The sequence below is a fragment of the Homo sapiens genome, chromosome 20, assembly GCF_000001405.40.
Source record: "Homo sapiens chromosome 20, GRCh38.p14 Primary Assembly".
In the NCBI taxonomy this organism is placed as follows: Eukaryota; Metazoa; Chordata; class Mammalia; order Primates; family Hominidae; genus Homo; species Homo sapiens.
In genome coordinates, this window is record NC_000020.11 from 52,069,971 (window position 1) to 52,096,533 (window position 26,563).

The 26,563-nt window shown below is 44.8% G+C and overlaps 1 protein-coding gene and 1 long non-coding RNA gene across 8 annotated transcripts in view; one reads left to right on the plus strand and one right to left on the minus strand.

The window, feature by feature from the left end:
* Positions 1-6,738: 6,738 nt before the first annotated feature.
* On the plus strand, positions 6,739-26,511 carry LOC105372664 (uncharacterized). 2 transcript variants are annotated; one of them, XR_936849.3, is made up of 3 exons: positions 6,739-13,165; positions 13,501-13,592; positions 26,292-26,511. It is a non-coding gene; the product is annotated as an uncharacterized LOC105372664 (long non-coding RNA). The 2 variants fall into 2 exon arrangements; XR_007067651.1 differs by having other exon boundaries at positions 8,678-8,760.
* The window catches only part of ZFP64 (ZFP64 zinc finger protein), a 107,769-nt gene continuing 95,246 nt past the window's right edge, over positions 14,041-26,563 (minus strand). For all 6 annotated transcript variants that reach the window (XM_047440285.1, XM_017027945.3, XM_017027947.3 and 3 more), the window contains 2 exons: positions 18,422-18,673; positions 14,041-15,296 (listed from right to left, as the gene is read on the minus strand). In XM_047440285.1, coding sequence (XP_047296241.1) covers positions 14,587-15,296; positions 18,422-18,673 — 962 coding nt within the window. In that variant the 3' untranslated portion in view covers positions 14,041-14,586. The remainder of the gene's footprint in view (positions 15,297-18,421; positions 18,674-26,563) is intronic.

Below are 26,563 nucleotides of genomic sequence, written 5' to 3' on the forward strand. Positions count from 1 at the left end.
TAAATTTTTTGGTAATATTTTATTAAACAAAAGCATAAGAGTGGGAGGTAAACTATAGATGGAATCTGGGAATAGACCCACTCTATGATGGAAATGGGTTTTTTTGCAGTAACAAGGTGAGCTGCTGAAATGACTGTTGCACTAACCGAATAAACTCCTGTTTATCCTAAAATTAGAATCCTGGAGGAATAACAAAGAAGCCCAGGAAGGCAATTTGTTCTTCCAGACACACATCTAGAAAGGAGAGATGACATGCAATTCACAAATTGCATTATAAAAAGCTCTTTGCAGTTTGTCACCCAAGTACTTTCCAGAGAGTGGCAGAAAACCAAGTTAAAAATGTCCAGGCCGGGCGCGGTGGCTCACGTCTGTAATCCCAGCACTTTGGGAGGCTGAGGTGGGTGGATCACGAGGTCAGGAGTTCAAGACCAGCCTGGCCAAGATGATGAAACCCCATCTCTACTAAAAATACAAAAATTAGCCGGGCATTGGGCCGGGCGCGGTGGCTCACGCCTGTAATCCCAGCACTTTGGGAAGCTGAGGCGGGCGGATCACCTGAGGTTGGGAGTTCGAGACCAGCCTGACCAACTTGGAGAACCCCTGTCTCTACTAAAAATACAAAATTAGACGGGCGTGGTGGCGGGCGCCTGTAATCCCAGCTACTTGGGAGGCTGAGGCAGGAGAATTGCTCGAACCCAGGAGGTGGAGGTTGCGGTGAGCCGAGATTGAGCCATTGCACTCCAGCCTGGGCAACCGGAGTGAAACTCCGTCTCAAAAAACAAAACAAAAACCCCCAAAAAAGTGGTGGATTACTAGTGGGGAAATCTGGGCAAAATGTAGAAGAGATATTTATTATTCCTCACAACTGCATGTGAATCTACAATGATCTCCATGTAGACTGAGATTCAAATAAAACTACTTACAAAAATGGGTGGCAGGACAGACTTAGCCCCTGGACTGTAGTTTGCTGATCCCTGGATAAGACTATTGGTGCCAGTTTTTACTTCCCTGGGACAGGATTCTTTGTGATATAAATTTGCAGAGGTCTCCCATTGCACACAAAGTATATTTCCCCACCCTCTGATGGCTGGACTTGCTCTAGGCGATGGAACATTAGTAGACATGATGCAAAGAGGGGCTTTACCCTGTTTTGTGAGTTTGCTTGCCCTCTTTTACTCCCATGATCTGCCATGAGAAAATCACAGTCATTGTTGACCCAGGGAGAATGTAGTGATCCAGGGAATAGAACTGAATCCAATCTAAAATGTGAAGCCATGCCCAGTTACCCAGAAGCCTAGAACAGAGCTGCCCTGTTCAAGCATGAGCCAGAAAAATAAGCACTTGCTGTAAGGCCCTGGGCTTTTGGGGGTGGTTTGTTATGGGGCGTTATCTTAGCAATAGCTGACTAATACACCATCCAGCATTCTTGGCCAACAAGCAATAGATGTTGCTTTGCACAGCTGGGGTGACCTCTGTCAGGGTATGTGTTTTCTTCACTCCACTACAGTCTCTGTTTTCCGGATGAAGGACTATTGATTTGCAGCAAATAGTCAAAAAAAACAAATGTGGAATTATTTTAATAGTCAACCATGCCCACTGGATATAAAAATGCAAGTTTTGGCCAGGCACCGTGGCTCACGCCTGTAATCCCAGCACTTTGGGAGGCTGAGGCGGGTGGATCACCTGAGGTCAGGAGTTCGAGACCAGCTTGGCCAAAATGGTGAAACCCTGTCTCTACAAAAAATACAAAAATTAGCCAGGCATGGTGGTGGGTGCCTTTAAGTCCAGCTACTTGGGAGGCTGAGGCAGAAGAATCGCTTGAACCCAGGAGGCGGAAGTTGCAGTGAGCCCAGATCGCTCCATTGTACTCCAGCCTGGGCAACAAGAGTGAAACTCCATCTCAAAAAAAAAAAATAAATAAAAGTAAGTTTTATTGCTAGAGGAGGAAGAGGAGGAGGAAAAAGGTCAGGGAGATGTGTGCTCTTTTAGTCTTGGCTTACCCAAGAACAATCCTTAAATCTTTAATAATTTTAAAGAAAAGAGCAGATCATCAGTCCATCCTTAGTGCACTGACCCTCGAACAATGCAGGGATTAGGGGCACCAATGGCACATATTTTGTGTATGTATTGTATACTGTATTCCCACAATAGTGCAAGCTAAGGAAAAGGAAATGTTACTGAGAAAATTAAGTGGGAGTGGATCATCATGCAAGTCTTCATTCTCGTCATCTTCACATTGAGTAGGCTGAGGACGAGGAGAAAGAGAAGGGGTTGGTCTTGCTGTCTCAGGGGTGGCAGAAGAGGAAGAATATCCACATATAACTGGACCCACATAGTTCAAACCTGTGTTGTTGGTTTTTTTTTTTTTTTTGAAGACAGGGTCTGTGTTGCCCAGGCTAGGGTGCAATGGTCCTATAATAACTCACTGCAGCCTCCAACCCCTGGCTTCAAGTGATCCTCCCACCTCAACCTCCCAAGCACCTGGGACTACAGGTGTACACCACCATGCCCAGCTCATTTTTTATTTTTCTGTAGAGCTGAGGTCTCACTCTGTTGCCCAGGCTGGTGTCAAACTCCTGGGCTCAAGTGATCCTCCTGCCTTGGCCTCCCAAGGGGCTGAGATTACAAGCATGAGCCACCATGCCAGCCAACCATGCAGCTTTAATGAGATGGTCACCGGCAATGCATTATGACAGGCGGGAATGTGTCTCCAAGGTGACGGGCAGTGACCCTTGCAGGAGTCTTGTATTGCACATCCTTCTCAGGTGAGGCACACGTGTTGATGGAAGCAGTGAAGAAAAAAGAGAGCAGAGAGATGTCATTCACAAGGTGGCGATGAGAAGGGTCATTGCTGCTTGGTGTGTAGGAATGAGGTAGTGTGGTTAGAGGGAGGCATCGCAAAGAAATGCCCTGGGAGCACTACCTGCTGATGTCTGATGACTCCGCCCTTCGGGAGCCTCATCCGTAATGTGGGTCAGCATCACTTATGTTGGAAAGTTGCTGGATGATGCCAAGGTGTTTGTGAAACTCACAGCAACACCTGGCACTGGTAGCTACTGTAATTGTTAATTTGGCAGCTAACACAAAAACAGCCACGATGACAAATTTTAAATCAAAACTTTTGGCTGGTCATGGTGGCTCACGTCTGTAATCCCAGCAATTTGGAAGGCCATGGTGGGCAGCTCACTGGAGGTCAGGAGTTCAAGACCGGCCTGGCCAACATGGTGAAACCCCCTCTCTACCAAAAATACAAAAATTAACCAGGCATGATGGCATGTGCCTGTAATCCTAGCTACTCTGGAGGCCGAGGCACGAGAATTCCTTGAACCCAGGAGGTGGAGGTTGCAGTGAGCTAAGATTGCACTACTGCACTCCAGCCTGGGTGATGGAGTGAGACTCTACCTCAAGAAAACCCCACAGACTTTTACAAATACACAAGACACTATTAATGATGACTGCTTTTTGGGAGGTAAAATAAGGGACAGTGAAAAGAGATGTTTTCCTATACATCCCCAGGTATTGCTTGACAAAAAAAAAAAATGCACAATATTTTAAAAGACAAGATGTTTTAAGGATGTAGGAGTTTTTATAAATGGCTTTCCTGGCCAGGCCTGGTGGCTCACACCTGTAATCCCACCACTTTGGGAGGCTGAGGCGGGGGGATCTCTTGAGGTTAGGAGTTCAAGACCAGCCTGGCCAACGTGGTGAAATCCTGTCTCTACTAAAAATACAAAAATTAGCCGGGCGTGGTGGCGTGTGCCTGTAGTCCCAGCTACTTGGGAGGCTGAGGCAGGAGAATCACTTGAACCTGGGAGGTGAAGGTTGCAGTGAGCCAAGATTGTGCCACTGTACTCTAGCCTGGGTGACAGAGATGCCATATCAAAAAATAAATAAATGGCTTTCCTATTTAGAAAAGATGTGTTTAGTTTTGTAGTGGAATGAACATTTGACATATGTAAATTTACTTCATATCATTTATATATATTCTTGAGAAACACTACAGTCTCTAAATATACCCACAGCTAGACGGCAAAGGCCTTTGTGTCTGAGCTTAATATAAAGGAATATTTGGGAACAGCATATATCAGAAAAAAAATCACATTCAAACATTGTGTTCATGTCAAAAACAATCTGAGAAATAAGAGCAGTTTAATTCTCATGTTTATTGCAGCACTATTCACAATGCGAAGGTAAAATCAACCTAAGTGTCCATCAACAGACGAGTGGATAAGGAAAATGTGGTACATATATAGATGGAATACTATTTGGCCATAAAAAAGAATAAAATCCTGTCATTTGCAGCAACATGGGTGGAGCTGGAGGTCATTATGTTAAGTGAAGTAATCCAGGCACAGAAAGACAAATATGCATATTTTCACTTCTATGTGGGAACTAAAAAAAGTTGATCTCATGGAGAGTAGATTGATAGATACCAGAGGCTGGGAAGGGTGTGTGGGTGTTGGGGTAGGGGGTGGTGAACAGAGGTTGGCCAATGGATACAAACATACAGTTAGAAGGAATAAGTTCCAATGTTTAATAGCAGAGTAGGGTGACTATAGTTACTACAATGTATTGTATATTTCATGGCCTTTTTTCTCTTTTTTTTTTTTTTTTTTTTGAGACGGAGTTTCACTCTTTCACCCAGGCTGGAGTGCAGTGACACAATCTCGGCTCACTGCAACCTCCGCCTCCCGGGTTCAAGCGATTCTCCTGCCTCAGCCTCCCGAGTAGCTGGGATTACAGGCACCTGCCACCACGCCCGGCTAATTTTTGTATTTTTAGTAGAGATGGGGTTTTACCACGTTGGCCAGGCTGGTCTCGAACTCCTGACCTCGTGATTCGCCCGCCTTGGACTTCCAAAGTGCTGGGATTACAGGCCTGAGCCACCGTGCCCAGCCTGTATTGTATATTTCAAAGCAGCTAAAAGAGAGGACTTAAAATGTCCCCAACACATAGAAATGATAAATACTTGGCCAGGCGCAGTGGCTCACGCCTGTAATTCCAGCACTTTGGGAGGCCGAGGCAGGTTGATCACCTGAGGTCTGGAGTTTGAGACCAGCCTGGCTAACACGGCAAAACCCCATCTCTACTAAAAATACAAAAATTAGCTGGGCTTGGTGGCGGGCGCCTGTAATCTCAGCTACTCAGGAGGCTGAGGCAGGAGAATTGCTTGAACTGGGAGGTGAAGGTTGCAGTGAGCTGAGATCGCGCCACTGCACTCCAGCCTGGGCAACAGTGAGGCTGTCTCAAAAAAAAAATGAATACTCGAGGCGATAGACACCCCAAATACATTGACTAGATCATGACACATTCTATGCATGTAACAAAATATCATGTGTATCCTATAATCACAAATATTAATAAAAAAATTTTTTAAAGCAATAGTTTAAAATTCAATACCATATCTCATAAGCTGCTCTGACCAGCTAGAGCAGGAGTTAGGAAATTAACGCCTATGGGTCAACTCTAGCCAATAACCTGCAAGTTAAATTGAAATTTTTATTGAGATAATTGTAGATTCATGTGCAGTTGTAAGAAGTAATACAGAAAAAGCCCTTGTATGCTTCGCCCAGTTTCTCCAGTGGTAATCCACCTGTTTTACGTAATCTACCACCATGAGCTAAAAGCAGTTTTTGAATTTTTTTTCTTTTTGGAAAAGGGTTTTTCTCTGTTGCCCAACCTGGTGTGCAGTGGTGCAATTATGGCTCTGGGCTAGAGACTGGGCTAGGATTAGTAAAGAAATGAGTATCTGGAATAAAAATTATTCTTTCAAAGAATAAAAATTCTATGTGACATCTGCACCATTAATTCTCTTAAACATTGATATAAAAACTGTTTTCTTGCAACCAGGAACAAATGGATAACTGAAGTACAGTCAATATTTGTTTTTTCTCAAAATCCAGGGTTGTCTATGTATTCATTCATTCTGTCACCCAGGCTATAGTACAGTGGCGTGACCATAGATCATAGCAGCATCTGCTGGGCTCAAGCGATCCTCCTGCCTCAGCCTCCCGTGTGGCTGGGACTACAGATGCATGCCATTGTACCTGGCTAATTTTTAATGTTTTTTGTAGGGACGGGGTCTCCCTATGTTGCCCAGGCTGGTCTCAAACTCCTGGCCTCAAGCAATCCTCACATCTTGGCCTTCCAAAGCACTGGGATTACAGGCATGAGCCACCGCTCCTGGCCACGTCTATGCCTTTTAAAAGAACTATACACAGAGAATCAATTTCTCTTAAAGAGATAGTTTATCAAAAGGATGCTTAAAGCTAACAAGTGCAGATGACACTGGGCTGGGTACTAGAATTAACTGTTATTCATGTGTTGCCCCTCTCAGCTATGGGATAAAAATCCTGCCCTTAGCATTAGGGTGAAATCAGTCTTTGGCGATCTTTCAAGAAATACATACTGCACAGCATGAGAAAGAGCATGTGAGTGCAATGCCTTTAGAATTTTGGAATTGACAAATGTACATTTGTTTTCTGTAGGCCTAAGTCCCTCAAACTAACACATGAAGATTGAGCCATCTGAAGAGCAGTTTATGGGGGAAAAGACTAATAGAGAGGTATTACGAAGAGCCCTGTTTGGAGAATCCTTCTCAAATACAAGGGTTTTTATTTTTTTATAAAGATGAGGTCCCACTATGCTACCCAGGCTGGTCTCGAACTCCTGAGCTCAAGGGATCCTCTCACCTTGGCTTCCCAAAGTGCTGGGATTATAGGCATGAGCCACTGTACCCGGGCCAAAGGTTTTTTTTTTTTTTTTTTTTTTTTAATGTGGGGGGAATAAGTATTCAAATGCTGGTTCTACTTGTTCTGGTTAAGACGGAAGCAATCGCAAGTCATTTTTTTTTTTTTTTTTGGAGACAGAGTCTCGCTCTCTCACCCAGGCTGGAGTGCAGTGGCAGGATCTTGGCTCACTGCAAGCTCCGCCTCCCGGGTTCACGCCATTCTCCTGCCTCAGCCTCCCGAGTACCTGGGACTACAGGTGGCCGCCACTACACCAGGCTAATTTTTTGTATTTTTAGTAGAGACAGGGTTTCATCGTGTTAGCCAGGATGGTCTCGATCTCCTGACCTCGTGATCCGCCTGCCTCCGCCTCCCAAAGTGCTGGGATTACAGGCATCAGCCACCGCGCCCCGCCAAGTCAAAATTTTACTAAGAAAACTGGACCCCAGAAACTCCTTTAATATCAGACTTTTTTTTTTTTTTTTGAGACAGAGCCTTGCTCTGTCACCCAGGCTGGAGTGCAGTGGTGGGATCTCAGCTCACTGCAACCTCCAAGTCCTTGGTTCAAGCAATTCTCGTGCCTCAGCCTCCTGAGTAGCAGGGATTATAGGCACATGCCACTATGCCTGGCTAATTTTTGTATGTCTAGGAGAGACAGGGTTTCACCATGTTGGCCAGGCTGGTCTCGAACTCCTGGCCTCAAATGATCTGCCCTCCTCGGCCTCCTAAAGTACTGGGGTTATAGGTGTGAGTCACCATGCCCAGCCTTAACATCAGAGATCTAATGTGAGGTGAGGGGGACAGTGTATGGAATTTTGCAAGTCCAGGAACTTAGGTGTGAAAATCTTTTATTTTTAAAAATTTTGTGTAGAGACAGGGTCTCACTCTGTTGCCTAGGATGGTCTCAAACTCCTGGCCTTCCGTGATCTGCCCACCTTGGCCTCCCAAAGTACTTAGGTTACAGGCACGAGCCACTGCACCTGGCCAGAAAATGAATCTTTAGTTTCACTAGCCTCTGAACGAAATCCAGTATTTCTGCCAATTTTGGAGGTAGGCACCAAATCACAGTAGCATTAGACAACCTGTGCTTTAGTCAACAAAATAAATTGGATATTTTCGTATAACATCATGGCCATTGTAGATTGCTACTTCAAAATAAAAGTAGTTACTAGATCTGCTGATAGATCTTGTATTTAGTGTTAATAAAAACACACTTAACAATTTAAAAATATTTTGATAACTATTATTTTAATGGCAGTTTCCTTTTGCAAACCTATGTATTTTATTCTTTTAAACATCACTGAGCAGATTCACAGATTTCATCGAATTGCCAAAGGGGTCCATGACTCAGAATGCACTGTGTCTTAAAGCAGGTCCTCCTAAGCAAGGGGTATTGAAAGGGGATCCACCTCAGAGACCTAAGACGCAGGTTCTAATCCTGACAAGTTGCTTGACCTCAGACAGGCTTCTGTCTCTCATGCCTTCACTTTTATCTCTATTAAAATAGAAGTGGGCCAGGTGCAGTGGCTCACAGCTGTAAAAAGCACTTAGGGAGGCCAAGTGGGGAGGATAGCTTGAGGCCAGGAGTTGAGACCAGCCTGGGCAACAAAGCAAGAACCCATCTCTACAAAAAAAAAAAAAAAGCAGCATCTGAAGCAGCATGTGGGGAGCAAACGAGATGCAATTGTGAATGTCTCCTGACAGCAGCTTCTCAAGCTCAGGTGGCCACTTAAACTCACATAAATCCATGTTTGGTTACCAAAGATAAGCATTTAAGCAACATTTATAATTTCGTAACCTGCCTATGTTGGGGGAATGCAACATTGGTCATTCCTGCAATACTTGCCCTAGCACACACGCAGCCCAGGGACGTTTTTCCAACCTAATGATGCTCACATTTGAAATTTTTTCCCACCCTACTATAGACCTCACTATTCTTGCAAAGAAGACTTTGTTCTATCTCAACACTTAGAACTCATGATTCTGTTCCTGAGCTGTCCACCTCTGCCAGTGGGAGACACCCTAGACTAAGGTGAGAGGTTAAGGAAGCTAGTGGAAGGCTGGGTGTGGTGGCTCACACCTCTAATCCCAGCACTTTGGGAGGCCGAAGTGGGAGGATCACTTGAGGTCAGGAGTTCAAGACCAGCCTGGGCAACATGGTGAAACCGTCTCTACTGAAAATACAAAAACTAGCCAGGCATGGTGACATGTGCCTATAATCCCAGCTACTCGGGAGGCTGAGGTGGGATAATTGCTTGAACCTGGGGGGCAGAGGCTGCAGTGAGTACTGCTGCACTCCAGCCTGGGTGACAGAGCAAGACTCCACCTCAAAAAAAAAAAAAAAAAAAAAAAAAAAAGGAAGCTAGTGGAGAAAGACTGCAGGTGCCAGAGTTCAGCACAGCAGGTTTGACTCCCCTGTATCAGCTGCATGATGCTGAGCAAGTTAACATCTCTGAAGATCAATTTTCCCTTGCAAAGATGAAGGCAAATGCCTTCCATTGTGAGGAACCATCAAAATAATGGAGGGGATACTAGTGAATGTTAGTGGGCGCCAGTGCTTGTCCCTCCCATCCAGAGACCTGGTCCCCCCTATCCAGGAGTCTTGATTTCAATGGTCGAAGGCCCTTCCCACAGCTTTCCAGTGATGCAGACAGGCTGAGGTATGCCCTTTTCTTCAGAAAACTGGCTGTTACAATTTGCAAAGCCCGATGCAAAATATTTTCAAAATTGCTATTAAAAAAATTAAGAATTTAAAGTCGATGACAGAACATGCAACCAAACAGGGGGCCTCCTGACTATGGGGCCCTTTGTGACAGCACAGCCTATGAAGACGGTCTGTCTCCAACTCACATGGCTCTTCCCACCCTGGTTCCACACTACAATCACCTGCAGAACTTTAGAAAGTAGAGATGCCCTTGTACCTCCCCTGAGATATTTCAAACACCAAAGAGGCCCCCAGGGGACCGCAGCAGGCAGGCACGGTGGAGAGCTACTGGAGTAGAGCCTTAGGATGCCTTGGAAGACTGTCATGGCCCAACATCCACAAGCAGCAGGCAAAACTGTCCCCATAAAGCCCAGATAAGACAAATACTTGCAAATGTAACATCTCAGGGTCTTTAGGACCCGTATCACGTGCCCCATGGAAAAAGCTATTAATGCCTCCCACCCCTATGAGGCTGCCTTACTGTGCAGACAGCAGAGGATGCTCATGAGTTCAGCATCTCCCCTTCCAGGTTTTCACCGGCACAGCCCACTCCAGAGGAACCTGCTTCCCCGTGTCCTTTGTAGAGCTATGGTGTGTGACTAGGTGGGGAGGCAAGCAGCAGCTTATGTGCGACTTCCCAGCGGTGTTAAGGACATGACCTTCTGTCCTAGTTGGCGCTTAAGGTGTCATCTGAGACTATGTGTTGAAGATGTGTGTGGCAGGGGGCATGGGAAGATAGAAATCATGATCCCTGCTGATCATAAGGCCACAGTACCTAGATCTTGGTTATTCCTCCTCCCCCTACAAAAGAAAAAAAGCAAGCAGGGCTCAGGGGGTGGGGGAGACAGAGGGAAGCCAACTTCTCTTAAGTCAGTAGATTGCATCATTAGGCCAAATGCCTGACATGACCCATTTTACAGAAGAGTAAAATAGACTCAGATGACATCCCCCTAGCTGAACGAGGCAGGGATTTCCCATCTTCAGCTGCATTCGCTTATAACTAAAAAAAAGGTGGCTTCTCAGAGTAGAAGGATGGTTGCCAGGAGTTGGGGGAAACGGGGAGATGTTGATCAAAGGGCACAATCTTTGTCATGACATGAACAAATTTTGGGTTGTAAGGCACAGCATGAGTGGTGGCAGCTGTGTTAATCTGTGGTAGTCATTACACGATGCTTAGGTATTTCCAATCAACACATTATAGACACCGAATATATACAGTCTTTGTCTGTTAAATATTTAAAAGAGGCAGCTTTTGGCCAGGCATGGTGGCTCACGCCTATAATCCCAGCACTTTGGGAGGCCGAGGCAGGTGGATCACGAGGTCAGGAGTTCGAGACCAGCCTGGCCAACATAGTGAAACCCTGTCTCTACTAAAAATACAAAAAATTAGCAGGTCATGATGGCAGGCGTATGTAATTCCAGCTACTTGGGAGGCTGAGGCAGGAGAATTGCTTGAACCCAGGAGGCAGAGGTTGCAGTGAGCTGAGATCGCGCCATTGGACTCCAGCCTGGGCGACAAGCGTGAAACTCCATCTCAAGGAAACAAGAGACAGCTTCTAGGATGTCACCACCCTGCCCCAATTTATTACTGGGTCATATTGTTTTAGGAAGTTTCTTCCCCTTATCCTTTAGTTTCTGCATTTAAAGAGGGACAGGGGCTAGGTGGGGTGGGAGAGGCCATGGCCTCAGGCACACATTTAAGGTGGTATCCCAAATCTCAGCTGATCAAGGTAAATACCATAACGCAACTTTTTAAAAACCAAAATGAATGCAAAAGAAACCTACAATGAACAGGATGTCAGAACTCTAAACACGGGATCCAACTCTGCTTGCACAGCCCTGACTTGCCCTAATCCCAGGCCAACTTTCCACAGAACTACAAAAACAAAGCAGATGACCTGTGGGGCCACCGTTTGCCAATCTGCATTAAAATATTTTTTGGCGACTGAGTTCTCGGCACTCCCTTAAGTCTCATGTCCCAGGCAAGTGCCTCACCCTATCCCAGCTCTGGGTAGCACCTGGGAGAAAAACACCTGCAGACAGGTAAAGTTCTTAGTGCAGTGCCTGGCTCAGTCATGATGGCAACTCGAATTGAGGCTCATCTGCTTTCTTAGAAGAGGTTAAATACAGGGAGACAAACAAGCTATTTGTGTTCTGTAGTGTCTAGAAGGCAGCAAGAAACCTTAAGCAGAGGGGCGGGAGATCGCCTTGATTTCTGTTCTTCAGTGGAGATTTTACAAGCTGATCTGAGTAAAGATCAAAAGGATCCAGTTTTCCCCAATACCTAACCGGAAACTCATCTGTCTGTGGCATGGAGCAACACCTTCCTTAAAGTGGCCCCACGAAATTTTTCTAAAGATGGAGTCGCATTGCTACCCAGGCTCGACTTGAACTCTTGGGCTCAAATAGTTCTTCCTAGCTCAGTCTCCCAAGTAGCTGGGACCATAGACACTCATTACTGATGCTGGCTCAATTTCATGTTAACATTTCCCCCTTGCCTTTTATCCAAGGCCAATCACCCTGTTGCTTGTACTTAGGGGTTAACAGACTGGCCTTCCAAATCATGTCCTTTTTATAAATAAAGTTTTATTGGCCCACAGCTAAACTTATTTCCTTCCCTATTCTCTGTAGCTGCATTACAGTGGCCGAGTTGGAACCTCTGTGCTACAACAGCAGTGGCAACAGAGCTGATAACAAGTAGGACCAGCAAAGCTCAAAACATTTACTATCTGGCCCTTAACTGAAAAAGTTTGCGGATCCCTGGGGCTCAGGTGAAGTCAAACTGCAAACATTCTCAGTTTCCTCTTCCAGATCCAGAGGGCTCTGCAAATCAAGGCTGGTGTAAGAATTGCCATTCTGGTCTGTGCCATGTCAGCTGCTCCTTTCTATTAAGGCTGTTTTATTTGGTTATTACCTGTACATTTTAAGTCTCATTCTAGCAGGTTTAGCCAGTTCAGCCCCCAATTCCGAATGATTTAACCCCATCCACTGCCATCTTCTAATTTCCTAGAAATGGTAAGGTAAGACTACCCCTACTCCTACAAGTTTCCTGGTCCTAGACTTCCCTCTTAGCCTACTTTTCTCTGAATCTTGGAATTCTTACCAGTCTCAAAAATTCTTTTAAGTTACCCAAATTCTTTTTAATACTCATTCAGCCTTATTCTCTTGAACTACACTCTCAGCTTTGTGCAAATCCCATTTGTGTCTCTGCCAGAAAATTTGGTATCTTTTAGTGTGTTTTACAAGTCACACTTGCCAGTTCAGAGCAAAGTACTCTGCAGGAGGGCTTGCTACATTCTAAGACCATGGGCCAAATCTAGCCTGCCACCTGTTTTTGTAAAGTTTTATTGGAACACAGACACACTTGTTTTTTCTTGCAATCTATGGTTGCTTTTGCACTAAAACCACAGAGCTGAGTAGTTGCAAAAAACTTTATGGCCCCACCCACTGCCTGAAGTAAATATTGGGTTCACAGCTTTTTACTCACCTCTGCTCTATTGGGAATCCAAGTTTGCTGGGTGATACCAGCTTGGATATAAAATCCTTAAAGTCCATACAGCTGTTAACAAAAAATGCCTTCTAAAAAGGCTGATATCTTTCCTCTTTGTCTAAAGAGCTATAACAAGAAGTACAAGGAACGTTTATGTGATTTCAATCTATGGGTTCCCACTTGAAAGGTCAACAACCTTCTAGAACAGAAACGCAGATCAGATTCACGACAAACAGCAGAAAGGTAACAATAGCAACTGTACAATAGCACCAGCATTCAGTAACCAAACACTTTTCTGATCAAAACGATCATCTCCAAAGAGACTAATTCTATCCTGGGTCTCTGTCATCATTTTAATCTTTTCTTCTTACAATAGAGATTCAGCAGTACACCATCACCTACCTGATGTAAAACTTAAACGGAGTCAGATTTGCCCAAACTACCACCATTCACAAAATAAACTAGGTACCTCTATTTCACAAGTGAAATAGTCCCTTCTACACAACCTATAAAATCTTACATCCTTTTTTCTTAGTTTACCAGGAACAATGGATCTACTTAATCTGTTTCAATTCCAGAGATGTTCAGCTTGATGAGGGCACACAAGACTTTATATTTAAAAAGAGTATTTGAAGGAAAGATGCCAAAAGTAGAAACCAAGCAACTTTGGGTAAGTATTATATCCACTGAGATTTCATAACCTCCTAAGGGTCCATCTATGAGAAGAGGTTGGATTTTCAGTAGTTTGTGGGTTCAGCAAACACTAAATGCTTTCCGTGATGAAACAGATGCTGGTGTGAGGCTGTCCCACGTATCACATATCCCAGCACCCAGCACCAAGCTCAGGGCCCACTGGGCCCCTGGACTTTTCTCTCCAAATAGAATTAAACAGAATTTTGAATTCCACAACAGACAAGCACAGGCTGGGCTAGTTAGCTTGATCTTTGGCGCCACCTCCAGATCAAACTGCATTTCGTTTTACTACAGTAGGAACTCATTGAGAAATCCAATGTGCGTTTATAATTAAGTTACTGAATGGGGCGCGGGCTGGGGATGGAGAACCTTCTACCGTAACTGTCTGTGGAGGGCTGCAAAATTGAGTGTTCCTTACATCATGCTACCATGAGTCTGCCTTTTTTATTGTAAGACAACAGGTAAAAGAAACCACACAAACATATAAGGCAAACACTCTTAGAACGATCACCCAGGTTATGAAATAGAAGTTTTCCAGCAACCCCAGACCCTTCACGTACACCTTCCTCACTTTAACCCTTTCCACTCTAGAGATTAGTTTTAGTTTTCTATATCGTCTAAGTTTAATAATTCCATCAGAGATGGATCAGTTTTAAAATTGGAATCCGTTACGTAGAAGCTATCCCCATTGGATAGAGCAGGGCTTGGCAGACCCCGCCTTTGAATGAACAAGTCGACTTGCTCAGATAATCCTTGGAGGGAAGAGACAAATGCGAGGAGTGTCTCCACAGCCCTGCTTTGCTTTGCTTTCGTCACTGTCGCCCAGCCATCGCCTCTGAAGGCCTGTGAAGTTGGAGCGGCCAGCCCCAGAAGTGGTGCCCAAAGCCTGTCTCTCAGTGGCCTCACCTCTGGAGGGCTGGGCAACAGCACTGGTCAGAAGTTCCGACAGCTGACCACCCTCTTCGGCTGAGCTAGAGGTCTTGGCTGGGCTCTAGGGGAGCCTCGAGCTGCCCCACGGAGACCAGGGTGCTGAGCTGTCCCGAGGCACCGCTTTCCGGTGGGAAGGTGACCAAGTCTGAGTTCTTGTTCTCACTCTGATCACTGTGCTGCTTCTTGTGGCATCTCAGAGAGTCATCCCTGACGAAGGAGGCGCCGCAGGTCTCACAGCGGAAGGCCCTCTGCGTCACGATCTTGGCCACGTGCTGGGAGCTGCCCTCTCTGAGCCCTTCCTTGCCCAGAGGGGCCCGGTTCTCCGTCTTGGCCTCGTCCCTGTGCACCTTGTCGACGTGCTTGGCCAGGCTGCTGGGCCGCTTCGTGTCGAAGCTGCAGAAGTCACACTTGAAGGGACGGTCCTTACAGTGGACTCTGCTGTGCACGCGCAGGGCGGCCGCGCTGGAGCAGGAGTAGCTGCACTCTGGACACTTCTCCGGGTGGTCGGCCTGGTGCAGCCGGCTGTGCTCCAGGAGGTCAGCCCGGTCCCGGCCCTGGAAGGCACAGTGCAGACATTTGAAGGTGTGCTTGATGCGGATGTGCGATTTGAGATTCGCCTTCATGGTGCAGCGGACGTCGCAGAACTCGCACTTGAAAGGCTTCTCCCCCGAGTGCACGATCATGTGCCTTTTCAAGTCCGAGCTGATTTTGAACTTGGCGCTACAGAGCCAGCACTGGAAGGGGGTATCCCCTAGCAATGGAAGGTGTGTTTCCATTAGAACAGGCAGGCAAAACAGACCCTCCCACCCCAACCTGCCTTAGCACACTTGGCCGCCATGAGATGGTTGGGTTTTGTGAACTCTAAACCCAACCTCCTAATGACAACACTTGTTGTGCATATTAATGCAATCCTCACAACAATCCTATGAGTGGGTACTATTACCCCCACTTTACAGATGGGACAACTGAGGCTCAGAGAGGTCAAGTTACTTGGCTCAGGTCAAACAGCAGGGATTTGGAACCCAGGCACTATGGCACTCAAGTCCATACTCTTGATGACCCCTTCAGTTTCAAATCTAAACTCCCATTTAACTTGACATCCCAGAATTGAATGTGGAAGAAGAGGTGAGATTTAAATTACAAACAACTGCTTCAAATCAAGCTAAGACCTGTGAAGACGCTTACTATAGTGTTTAATCTATATGACATCAGTTATTGAGCTTGTATTTCAAGTTAAAGTTTCTTACTTTTATAACTACAGGCTAAATTTTATTTATAATATTAATGCATAATTATGGCAGCAGGGGACAAATAATAAAGAGCCATGGTCTTTAGAGTCCCATTCCCTGGAGACATTGCTAAGGGTTTCTAGTTGTTTTTGAGGTTGCTGCTTTAAACGTCAGTTGAATATACACAAAGATAAGCATCTTATCCTACACACCCATCCTTTCCCTAACCTCTCCCCTGCATTCTGGTGGTTGTGACTTTTACACTTTTAAGCTGAGTAGTAGCCTCACATTTTAGTCCATCAGCTTCTGAGATTTTTTGAGGATTCACTCCTCTTCTCCACACTTAACTCCTCACTTGTTAGAAGTAGCTTTCTTTTCACCTTTAAGTAAAAAAATATTTCCATTCTGTCTGGTGAATTCTTATACTTTAATCATTTTCAGATTTCAAGTTCAGAAGCCAACTATAAATAATTTAAATGGTGACTGGGAATGTGATATTCATCGGAGCCAAACACTGCACCAGGATTACAATCACTTCCTTATAAGTCTGCTGTCACACTCAGGCCAGTGGATGGCGTAACCACCCATCAATATAATTTTGTTTTCTTTTCTTACGTGTTGCTCATTTGGGGGCACATTTTAACTTGCTTCTTGATTAGACTGTGTTTCTTGAAAGAAGGAATCTCAATTTCAGAAGTCATCCACTCTCATAATTTTGTAACTTTCACAAGGAATTTTTTTTTTTTTTTTTGATACAGAGTCTCACTCTGTCGCCCAGGCTGGAGTGCAGTGACGCAATCTCAGCTCACTGCAAGCTCCGCCTCCCAGGTTCATGCCATTCTCCTGCCTCAGCCTCCCGAGTAGCTGGGACTACAGGTGCCCGCCACCACGCCCAGCTAATTTTTTTGTATTTTTAGTAGAGACGGGGTTTCACCGTGTTAGCCAGGATGGTTTCGATCTCCTGACCTCGTGATCTGCCTGCCTCAGCCTCCCAAAGTGCTGGGATTACAGGCTTGAGCCACCGCGCCCGGCCCTTTCACAAGGAATTTTTAAAATGGATTTTTAAAACTTCTGATTTAGTTTCTCTTGACTTTCTATACAAGTATCAGCCTGATATTTCTCTTTGCTGCAATCCCAGTTAGCCATATTCAGGTATTCACATATCAAATATATCATGCCAGATGTTTCCTCCCTTCCTTTGCTAGAGTTTATCTTCTAGTAACTCCCACTAGCATGGTGGCTGGGAGTAAAATCTTGAGTCCTTGCACATCATTCTATTTTGCTCTCATACTTGAGATAGTTTGGCTGGGTATAGAATTCTAAGTTCAAAATCATTTCCCAACTCTTGAGGGCACTGTTCCATTGTCTCCTAGAAGCCAATACTACCCAGACATATTTCTAGATATAGATGTCCCCTGTCCACTCCCTTCCATCCTGATTGGAATCCTGTGAGCACTTTTACTCTCCTGGCCCCTTAGAATTGTGGACTTCATTTCTCATTTGATTTTCTATTTTCACTCTATTTTCTTCTCACTTCCATTTTCTTTTCTTCCTAGACCTGGTCAGAAACCAGACTTCAGGACTGGCTCTTATTCTCAGTTCACTCACCCAATTTTTTTCCCGTAATCTCTGGGACATTAATTTTATAGCTAGCAATCCTAGTTTTATTTCATACTTCTTTGTTCTCATTATCTCTTCATAGGTCTCTATTTGGATGCAACATTTCTGCCAGTGGGTAGACACCAATTAGAATGTGAAAATTACCCAAGTACTCTTACTTCCAGGATTAGTTATTGACTTGGCTCATTTTATTCCATTCATTTCCTATAGATGACTCATGATCCTTGGTGGACTATATTTGGGAAAGTAGACTGGTTTAATGATTAGACATGGATGCCAGAGGTTTCACCTGCTACTGGGTTGGTTGGGCAGTTTTGCCAGGCCTTGGCTAGTCCCCCAAGCTTTGTGGCCCTGGCTGTCTACATGCTTGTTCCAAGCCCAGAGCCCTCAGGGCCCTTGGATATTGGCTGGAAACTTTGGCTTCCAACTGTACAGCTGCCTCCCATTTGTCTGCTGGGACACAGCTTTCTATACTCAGTTTTAAACATCACTATGTTCCTGTCTGCTCACCATTTTCCAGGAATTCATTGAAAATTTTCAACTTATGAGCATCTTTATGAATATCTCAAACCCCATTTTTCCATGCCACGATGAGTTGGTCCTATCATTTCAGTAGGGTCCCATAAAGGAAGTTCCTAAGATTAAAAGTTTGTGATTTTTAATTATACTTAATGGATCCTGCTACATTCCAAATTTAGCCATGCAATCAGTGTATACATTTACTGAAACATCTAGTTTATAGGTCTGACTTGAGATACATCATTGGCTTCTTGGCAGTTATAGTGGGTATCTACTCCCAGCTGGATTCTATATAGTCAAGATATAAAACCCAGCTGTCAGTCATATTTTACCAAAAGTTGTTGTTCCGGCAACAGAAAAATGACAAATCTCACAATTATCACAGAAGTTCCAAATTCTTGTACTTCTACCACACCAAGTCATTTAAGTTGCTTGTGTTGTTAAGTAAATGAAGGTTAAGAAATTAGAGAAAAAGTAAGGGATTGAGGTTTCCTGGTCAGGGACTCACCCGTGTGAGATCGCAGGTGGACGGTGAGCTGGCTGGAGTTGCGGCTGGCATAGGGGCAGAGCTGGCATTTGTACGGCCGCTCATCAGAGTGGATCCGCAGGTGCTTCTTGAGGCTACTGCTGTCCACGGCAGCGTAGTCACACAGGTGACACTTGTGTGGCTTCACACTGGTGTGGCACCGCATGTGCATGGTCAGGTTGTCCTTCCGGCTGAAGCACTTGTCACAGAACTCACACTTGTGCGGTTTGTCTCCTTCAAACACATAAGGAGTCAAAGTTAAAGGTTTTTTGGTCAAGATGGCTACAAAGATTTGACCAAGATGATAGCCTGGGCATATGGGTGTGCCGCCTCCTCCTGTCCAAATACTGAGAGAGAAAGATACTGAAGTCTACATCAGCATATTGGGAAACAAGAATGTGTATCATTCATTGATAGTTCAGAAATCCTAAGGGAAAGATGACATAAAAATCTGATTGATGGAGAAAATTACAGGCCAAACCCTGTTTGGGAAAAATGGCAGTGGTTATAGAAGTACTCAGGATAAGAAGTGGCAGCTGTAGGGATCTTGGGCAGCTTCATGAACCACATGGAGAATGGTCAGGTGGACCCCTTCCTCTCACTTCTTCCAAACAGCAAGCAGCACGGCATCTCCCCCTAGGCTGTTGGTCAAAGGGTGCTGAGGTCAGAAAAAGAATACAAGGGCCTGGTAAGTTAGAGATGCCAGGGACAGCAGAAGACCACATACCCAGAACACTTCCATCCAGCCATGTTTCATCACTACCCCCTAGCCCAACCCTTCCAGGCTGATCATATCCAAATAAAATTAGTTTACCCAATAAACAAATGCTTGGGGAAAGCCAGAACCAGAAAGACACGCCCAAGTCAAGAACTTAGTTACTAAAGCAAAGGGAGGAAATGAAATTAGAGAAATGAAAACTATGGAAATCAAAATAAAAGTTCTAATAAGTTGACCAGCAAAAAGGGTGTCGAATGACAGCTATTGGTGGATGTAGGTCATCATACATTTGTCCACAACCGCAGAATGTACAACATCAAGAGTGAACCTTGGCCAGGTGCGGTGGCTCACACCTGTAATTCCAGTGCTTTGGGGGGCTGAGGTGGGTGGATCGCTTGACCCCAGGAGTTTGAGACCAGACTGGGCAACATGGCAAAACCCTGTCTTTACACAAAAAATACAAAATATTAGCTGGATGTGGTGGTGCATGCCTGTAGTTCCAGCTACTTGGGAGGCAGAGGTGGGAAGATCACCTGAGCCCAGGAGGTTGAGGTTGTGAGCACAGATCGTGCCACTGCACTCTAGCCTGGGTGACAGAGCAAGACACTGTCTCAAAAAAAAAAAAAAAAAAATGAACCTTACTGTAAACTATGGTCTTTGGTTGAGAATGTTGTGTCAGTGCAGGTTCATCTATGGTAAAAATGCACTATTCAAATGTAATGTTGGTAATGGGGAAGGCTGTGCATGCGCAGGAGCAGGGAGCATGTGGGAAATATCTGTATCTTCTTGTCTTTAGGTTCACTTTTGCTGTGAACCTAAAACTGCTCTTATAAAAACAAAACAAAAAGAAAAAGCCACCTATTAAGAAAAATCTTAGAAATGGAAGATACAGCTAAAGAATCTCCCAAAAGGACAAGGGGGAAAAGACGCCAAAAGGTAAGACACGAAAGCTCGTTCTAGATGGTCCAGGATAGAACTGAGAAGAATTATTTCCCAACACTAAAGACAGCCATGCATCTTATTTAGAAGCAGGGTGGTCCAATTTCAGAACCCTAAGAAGGGTGAGATCTGGAAGCTTCCAGAAAGAAAACCACCAGCAAAATGCTCACATCAGCATAAAGCTCCTCAGAACAGTGGATGCTAGCAAGACAGGAACAGGATCTTCAACTTTCTAGAGAAACTGTTTTAATAGAATCTTATACTTGAATTAGCATTCAGTGAGAGGAGAAGATAGTTGATATATGACTTGGTATCACACTTAAACACTGTACACCAGAAAAAAAAATAAGGGTGATGGTGAAGGTAAGATGGCAATATGAGAAAATACTACAATGGAAAAAGTATAGCTTTCAGACAAGAGAAAAACAACCATCAAAAGACTTGGTTGGGGCGACTGGGCATGGTGGCTCACACCTGTAATCCCAGCACTTTGGGGGGCCAAGGTGGGCAGATCATGAAGTCAGGAGTTCGAGACCAGCCTGGCCAACATGGTGAAATCCTGTCTCTACTAAAAATACAAAAATTAGCTGGGCTTGGTGATGCACACCTGTAATCCCAACTACTGGGGAGGCTGAGGCAGGAGAATGGCTTGAACCCAGGAGGAGGAGGTTGCAGTGAGCCGAGATCGTGCCACTGCACTCCAACCTGGGTGACAGAGCAAGATTTTTTTTTTTTTTTTTTTGAGACAGACTTGGTTGGGCACAATGGCTCACATCTGTAATCCCAACACTTTTGAGAGGATCACTTAAGTCCAGAAGTTCTAGACCAGCCTGGGCAACACAGTGAGACCCTGACTCTACCAAAAAAAAAAAAAAAAAAAAAAAAAGGATTTGCTACGTGTGGTGGTATACCCTTGTAGTCCCAGCTACTTGGGAGGCTCAGGTGGGAGGATCACATGAGCCCAGAAGGTGAGCTCTGATCATACCACTGCACTCTAGCCTAGGTGGCAGAACAAGAACTTGTCTCTATGAAACGAAAAAACCAAACAGCACAAAATAAAAATCACATCAAATATCAGATAACTAGATGTCAAAGTAAATATTATAAACAAAAACGTATTACATTTCCCTCTTAAAGATTTAAATTATAGGTCAGGTGCTGTGGCTCACGCCAGTAATCCCAGCACACTGGGAGGCCAAGGCAGGAGGATTGCTTGAGGCCGGAAGGTTGAGACCAGCCTGGGCAACACAGGGAGAGCTCATCTCTACTTTAATAAAAGTTAAAAATATATTTAAGTTAAATTAAGAAAAAAAGCCACTAAATGCTCTGAAGATACCTAAATCAAAGTGATAGGAACACAATAGAAATTCTAGAAAAATGCTTAAAAAAAGTAGGAATATCAATTTTAGCATCAGGCAAAATAGAAATCATGGTGAAATCCATTAAAAATTTCATATGGATGAGAGAGTTCAGTATGTAGATAAAAGTCAAACTTTTATGAGTGTAACATGGCTTCACAAATGGTTTTTCAAAAATGTCATCTTGGAAGTTTTAGAATGTCTTTTAGGACAGTTTTTGTCAAAATTAGATTACAAACTCCAGAAACAGATAAGTTTCCTATTTCAAAACCTATGGCCGTGGCTGGGCGCGGTGGCTCACGTCTGTAATCCCAGCACTTTGGGAAGCCAAGGCAGGCAGATCACCTGAGCTTGGGAGTTCGAGACCAACCTGACCAACATGGAGAAACCCCGTCTCTACTAAAAATACAAAAAAATTAGCTAGACGTGGTGGCACATGCCTGTAATCCCAGCTACTTGGGAAGCTGAGGCAGGAGAATCGCTTGAACCCAGGAGGTGGAGGTTGCGGTGAGCCAAGATTGCACCATTGCATTCCAGCCTGGGCAACAAGAGCGAAACTCCGTCTCAAAACAAAACCAAACAAAAAACCTATAGTCTATAATGGCTTTAAAGTAGTTTGTAGATTTAAGTTCACTTCTAACAAAATGCTGAAATCAAGTGCACAGTATGCAATTCAAGAAACCAAAAGAAAGAATTGAGGCTACGTATAGCACTTGATCAATAAAAGTAAAAATGGTGCTTAAGAAGGAAGGCTTAGCTCAAAAAGAGAGGATACCAACAGATCAGGGTTCTTAATCTCAACACTATTAGAAATTCTCTGCTGTTTGGTGCTTTCCTCTGCATTGTAAGATGTTTATCGGCATCCCTGGCCTCCACCCACCAGATGCCAGTAGAACCCTTTCTTCTCCAGTTGTAACAATCGAAGATGTCTCCAGACATTGTTCCCTTGGGGGGTGAAATCATACCTAGTTGAAAACCATTCCAATAGACTTTGGAAAAGCAGAAGGGGACTACAGATACACAAAGTCAATCGTGACTATTAAGTAGAACTTTATACCCCAATAAATTTAGAAGACTCAATAAGATGGGTGATGGTCCAGGAAGATGTAAAACTGCGAAGTCTGGATTAAAAGATCGAAAACAGGCCGGGTGCAGTGGCTCACACCTGCAATCCCAACACTTTGGGAGGCCAAGGCAGGCGGATCCGCCTTGACTTGAGGTCAGGAGTTTGAGACCTGCCTGGCCAAGGTGAAACAGCATCTCCACTGTAAAAATACAAAAATTAGCCAGGCATGGTGGTGCACAGCTATAATCCCAGCTACTCAGGAGGCTGAGGCACGAGAATCACTTGAACCAGGGAGACATAAGTTGCAGTAAGCCAAGAGTGCACCACTGTACTCCAGCCTGGGTAAGAGGAAGACTGTCTCTCAAAAACAAAACAAAAAAACTGAAACAAAACAGATCGATAACAATGACAAATTATGCTAAAGATCTACTCTCTAAGGTAAATTGTTTATTGTTCGCAAGTATTTGCTGTAACTTATGGGGAGAATTATGCTTCCCTGTCCCAATAGCCTCTGGTTTGGACATGACGTACTCCGGCTAATGAAATATGACAGAAAGTGACAAGAATTGTTGTCAAGGGCCACTGTGTGGTTCCTCACACTTGTTTCTCTTGCTCAAGATACACTGTTCCAAATCAGGAGATTAAAAAAAAAATTTTTTTTTTTTTAATAGACAGAGCCTCACTCTGTCCCCAAGGCTGGAGTGCAGTGGCACGATTTTGGTTCACTGCAACCTGTGCCTCCCAGGTTCAAGCGATTCTCCTGCCTCAGCCTCCTAAGTAGCTGGGATTACAGGCAGCCACCACCACGCGTGGCTAATATTTGTATTTTTAGTAGAGATGGGTTTCACCATGTTGGCCAGGCTGGTCTTGAACTCCTGACCTCAGGTGATCTGCCTGCCTCAGCCTCTGAAAGTGCTGGGATTACAGGCGTGAGCCACTGCGCCCAGCCATCAGGAGATTTTTATCTGGGGTCTGTGTATAAAATTTCAGGGGTCTAAGATCTTATATGGGAAATGATTGCATTTTTATCTTCCCTACCTTAACTACTGTTTAGCATTGCCTTCAATTATGGATGTAGGCAATAAACCACACTAGTAACAGTGCTGGAGACCCTCGTCAATGGACATGAAATGTGGTCGTACCACATTACACTCATTGTAGTTCTCCAAGTTATCACTTATGCTCACTTTTGCAATTAGGGTAGTTAATATGCTAGCCACTAGCTCCTGACATTAAATGCAGGGCTTCTCTGGGACTACTGTGCATATTAACCACCCGGGCTTGGGAGCATCTCATTAAGATGCAGATTCTGATTCAGTAGGTCTACGGTGCAGCTTGGGTTCCTGCATTTTGATCTACCAAGCTCCCAGCTGATGTGGACACTTCTGGTCTTTGTACCAGTTTGGGTAGCAAGGGCTTAAAGTATGAAAATTGCACATTTAACATTGATGATTATATCACAATATGATTTTTTTAAATGTGATATATCTTATTAGATTTAAAGACATCTTTTTGAGAAGAGTCCATCCAAATTGCCAGGAGTGCATAGCACAACAAAGGTCAAGAACGCCTTCATCTGGCTGTTCCGGACAGAGGCAGATCTACCAACTGGGTCCCGGAGAGAAGACCACAAGGAATGCAGCTGGGGTGACTGTGGGGGATAGTGGCATATATGGAGCAGTCTTCAGTTGTCACTGAGGTTGACAGTGCTATCTCAGCCTAATCCATCCTCCTTCTATGCTCCTAAGGATTGGAGCAGAGAGGGGATTGTGTGCACGTTCTACCAAACTTTCAAGGAAAGTCGTTTCTGTAGTCAACTGTTTCAGAGCATAGAGAAAGATTTTGCTTCAGTTCACTTTATAACAGCTACCTGATACCAATGCCAAATGAAGAAATACAAAGTGGGATAAAAATACAAACATAAATCAGTCTCCTTTACGAAGCTAAATAAATGCCACAGGACCATCTTAAACTAGCAATATAGGGCTGGGGGGGAAGGGTGGCTCACGCCTGTAATCCCAGCACTTTGGAAGGCCGAGGCAGGAAGATCACTTGAGGCCAGGAGTTTGAGACTAGCCTTGACAATAGTGAGACCTCGTCACTACAAAATAAAATAAAATTAGCTGGGCGAAATGGGGCATGCCTGCAGCCCCAGCTATTCAAGAAGCAGAGGCATGAGGATCACTTGAACCTGATTGCACTACTGCATTCCAGCCTGGGTGACAGAGCAAGAGAAGACCCTGTCTCAAAATAAATAAATAAATAAATAAATAATAAAAAGGAAAATGCAATACATTTGAAATACAACCACTATTCCCAGTTAAACACACACCTCAGTATTCCTAGCTTTCTGAGCTTGGTTTTAACTTGAAAGTGATAAGTGATCTCAACCAAAATCCCAGGGGTTCTAACCCTACAATGATGGTGACCTTGAGGCATGCCCAAAGCATGCCCATGACGGGGAATAAGACAGATGGTTTGAGTTGACTGCTACTCTTCAATTTGAACTGAAGCACCAAAGCCAAGGCACACAAGGTCAAATACGAAGTCAGAAAGAGAAAGCTTATTTGCATATGTTAATTTACTTAAGCAATCCAAAAGAACCACAGGTTAGAATCCCTGCCTCCCACTTACAACTGGGTCAGAGACACACGCTGACCTTTCCCCTCTCCTCTTGGTAACAGAACCTTCTTTGCAGCTGGGCACACAACCGCACAGGAGAAACTTCCTTTTCCCAGCCTTCATTTCCACAGCTGGGGGTGGCCATGGGATTCAGTTCTGGCCAAACAGATGAGCTCGAGTGGTGTGGCTTTAAGGTGGCAGGAGGCCATTGTGGAGCAGGCTAATGAGAGCTGCACCCTTGGGATGACAACGCAAAGCAACAGCCTGGGTCCCTGAGACCACCGGGCCAGTGCCACACCAGCCTGATCACTCACACCTGGAACATCATGGTGCAGAAATACTTTGGCTTTAAACCACCATTACTTGAGTCCCAGTAGTGACAAAGGATGCTACTTCTGGGTCGTGCCCCAAGGGAGGAATACCATGAGGCCTCCATGCCTTTTCTCCTACTTTCCATTAGTTAAATTCAGAGAACTAAAGCAGTCACCTGGGGCCCAGAGAAGTGGCCTAAGTTTGCTTACACTAGGGAGGCGCGTCTGCTTACCTGACTCAAGAACAAGGCCTTATCTTTTATGTCCTGGATCCCCAGCATGCTCTGCGGTACCTCAAGAAAACAGTAATCCAGCCCCTGTACATCTCTTGGGGTCGAACCCAGCACTGTGGATGTTCCAGGCCTTTCATTCTTGTGAAGGTTGTGTTGTGAATTTTAAGATTTTTGGCCTCCACCCACTGAATGGCAGTAGCCTAGCCCCAGTTGAGAACAAGCACTCAAGTTATTTTCAGGATAAAGTCACCCACTCTGAGATTCCTCAAACTGAGCTGCCTCGTCTTTCCTCAAAGGGCTCCTGAATCTGCATGCTTTCACTGACATCGTCATCCTGGTAGCCTGTCTTCCAAGGTGAAGATCAAACATTTCCTTGCTAACATGCTTGTCATGATCCACTGTCCCCAGGCAAAAGTGGCCCTCTATTATAGCACAGTGCCCATCTTTCTGGACAGAGACCACCATCTTTGTCCAGAAATCTCTGTCCTCTCAGTGAAGGGGCTCCAGAGGCTCATCTGGCCATGTGTTGCCCCGCTTAAAACCATCCCTCAGGCCCCCTTGGTACTCGGTGTGGCCATGACTAAGTCCCGCTCATGTTCCCCTAGGTCACAAGGGCCGCTGCTTCTGGGTCACAGCCCAAGGGAGGCATGCCATGGGCTCCCTGGCCTGCTTCCATTGCCTGCTGGCTAAGCGATGCAGAGAACTACAGCAGCTGCCTCAGACCCAGAGGCTAAGCCAAGTGTTCAGGATGGCAGAGCCATTGGACCAGCTGTGGACTCTATGCCTCTGAAGATGTACTCAAGAAATAAACTGGATTACGTTTAAGCCACTGAGACTGGTTTCTGAAAGAACAAACCAATATTCTCGCTCAAACATG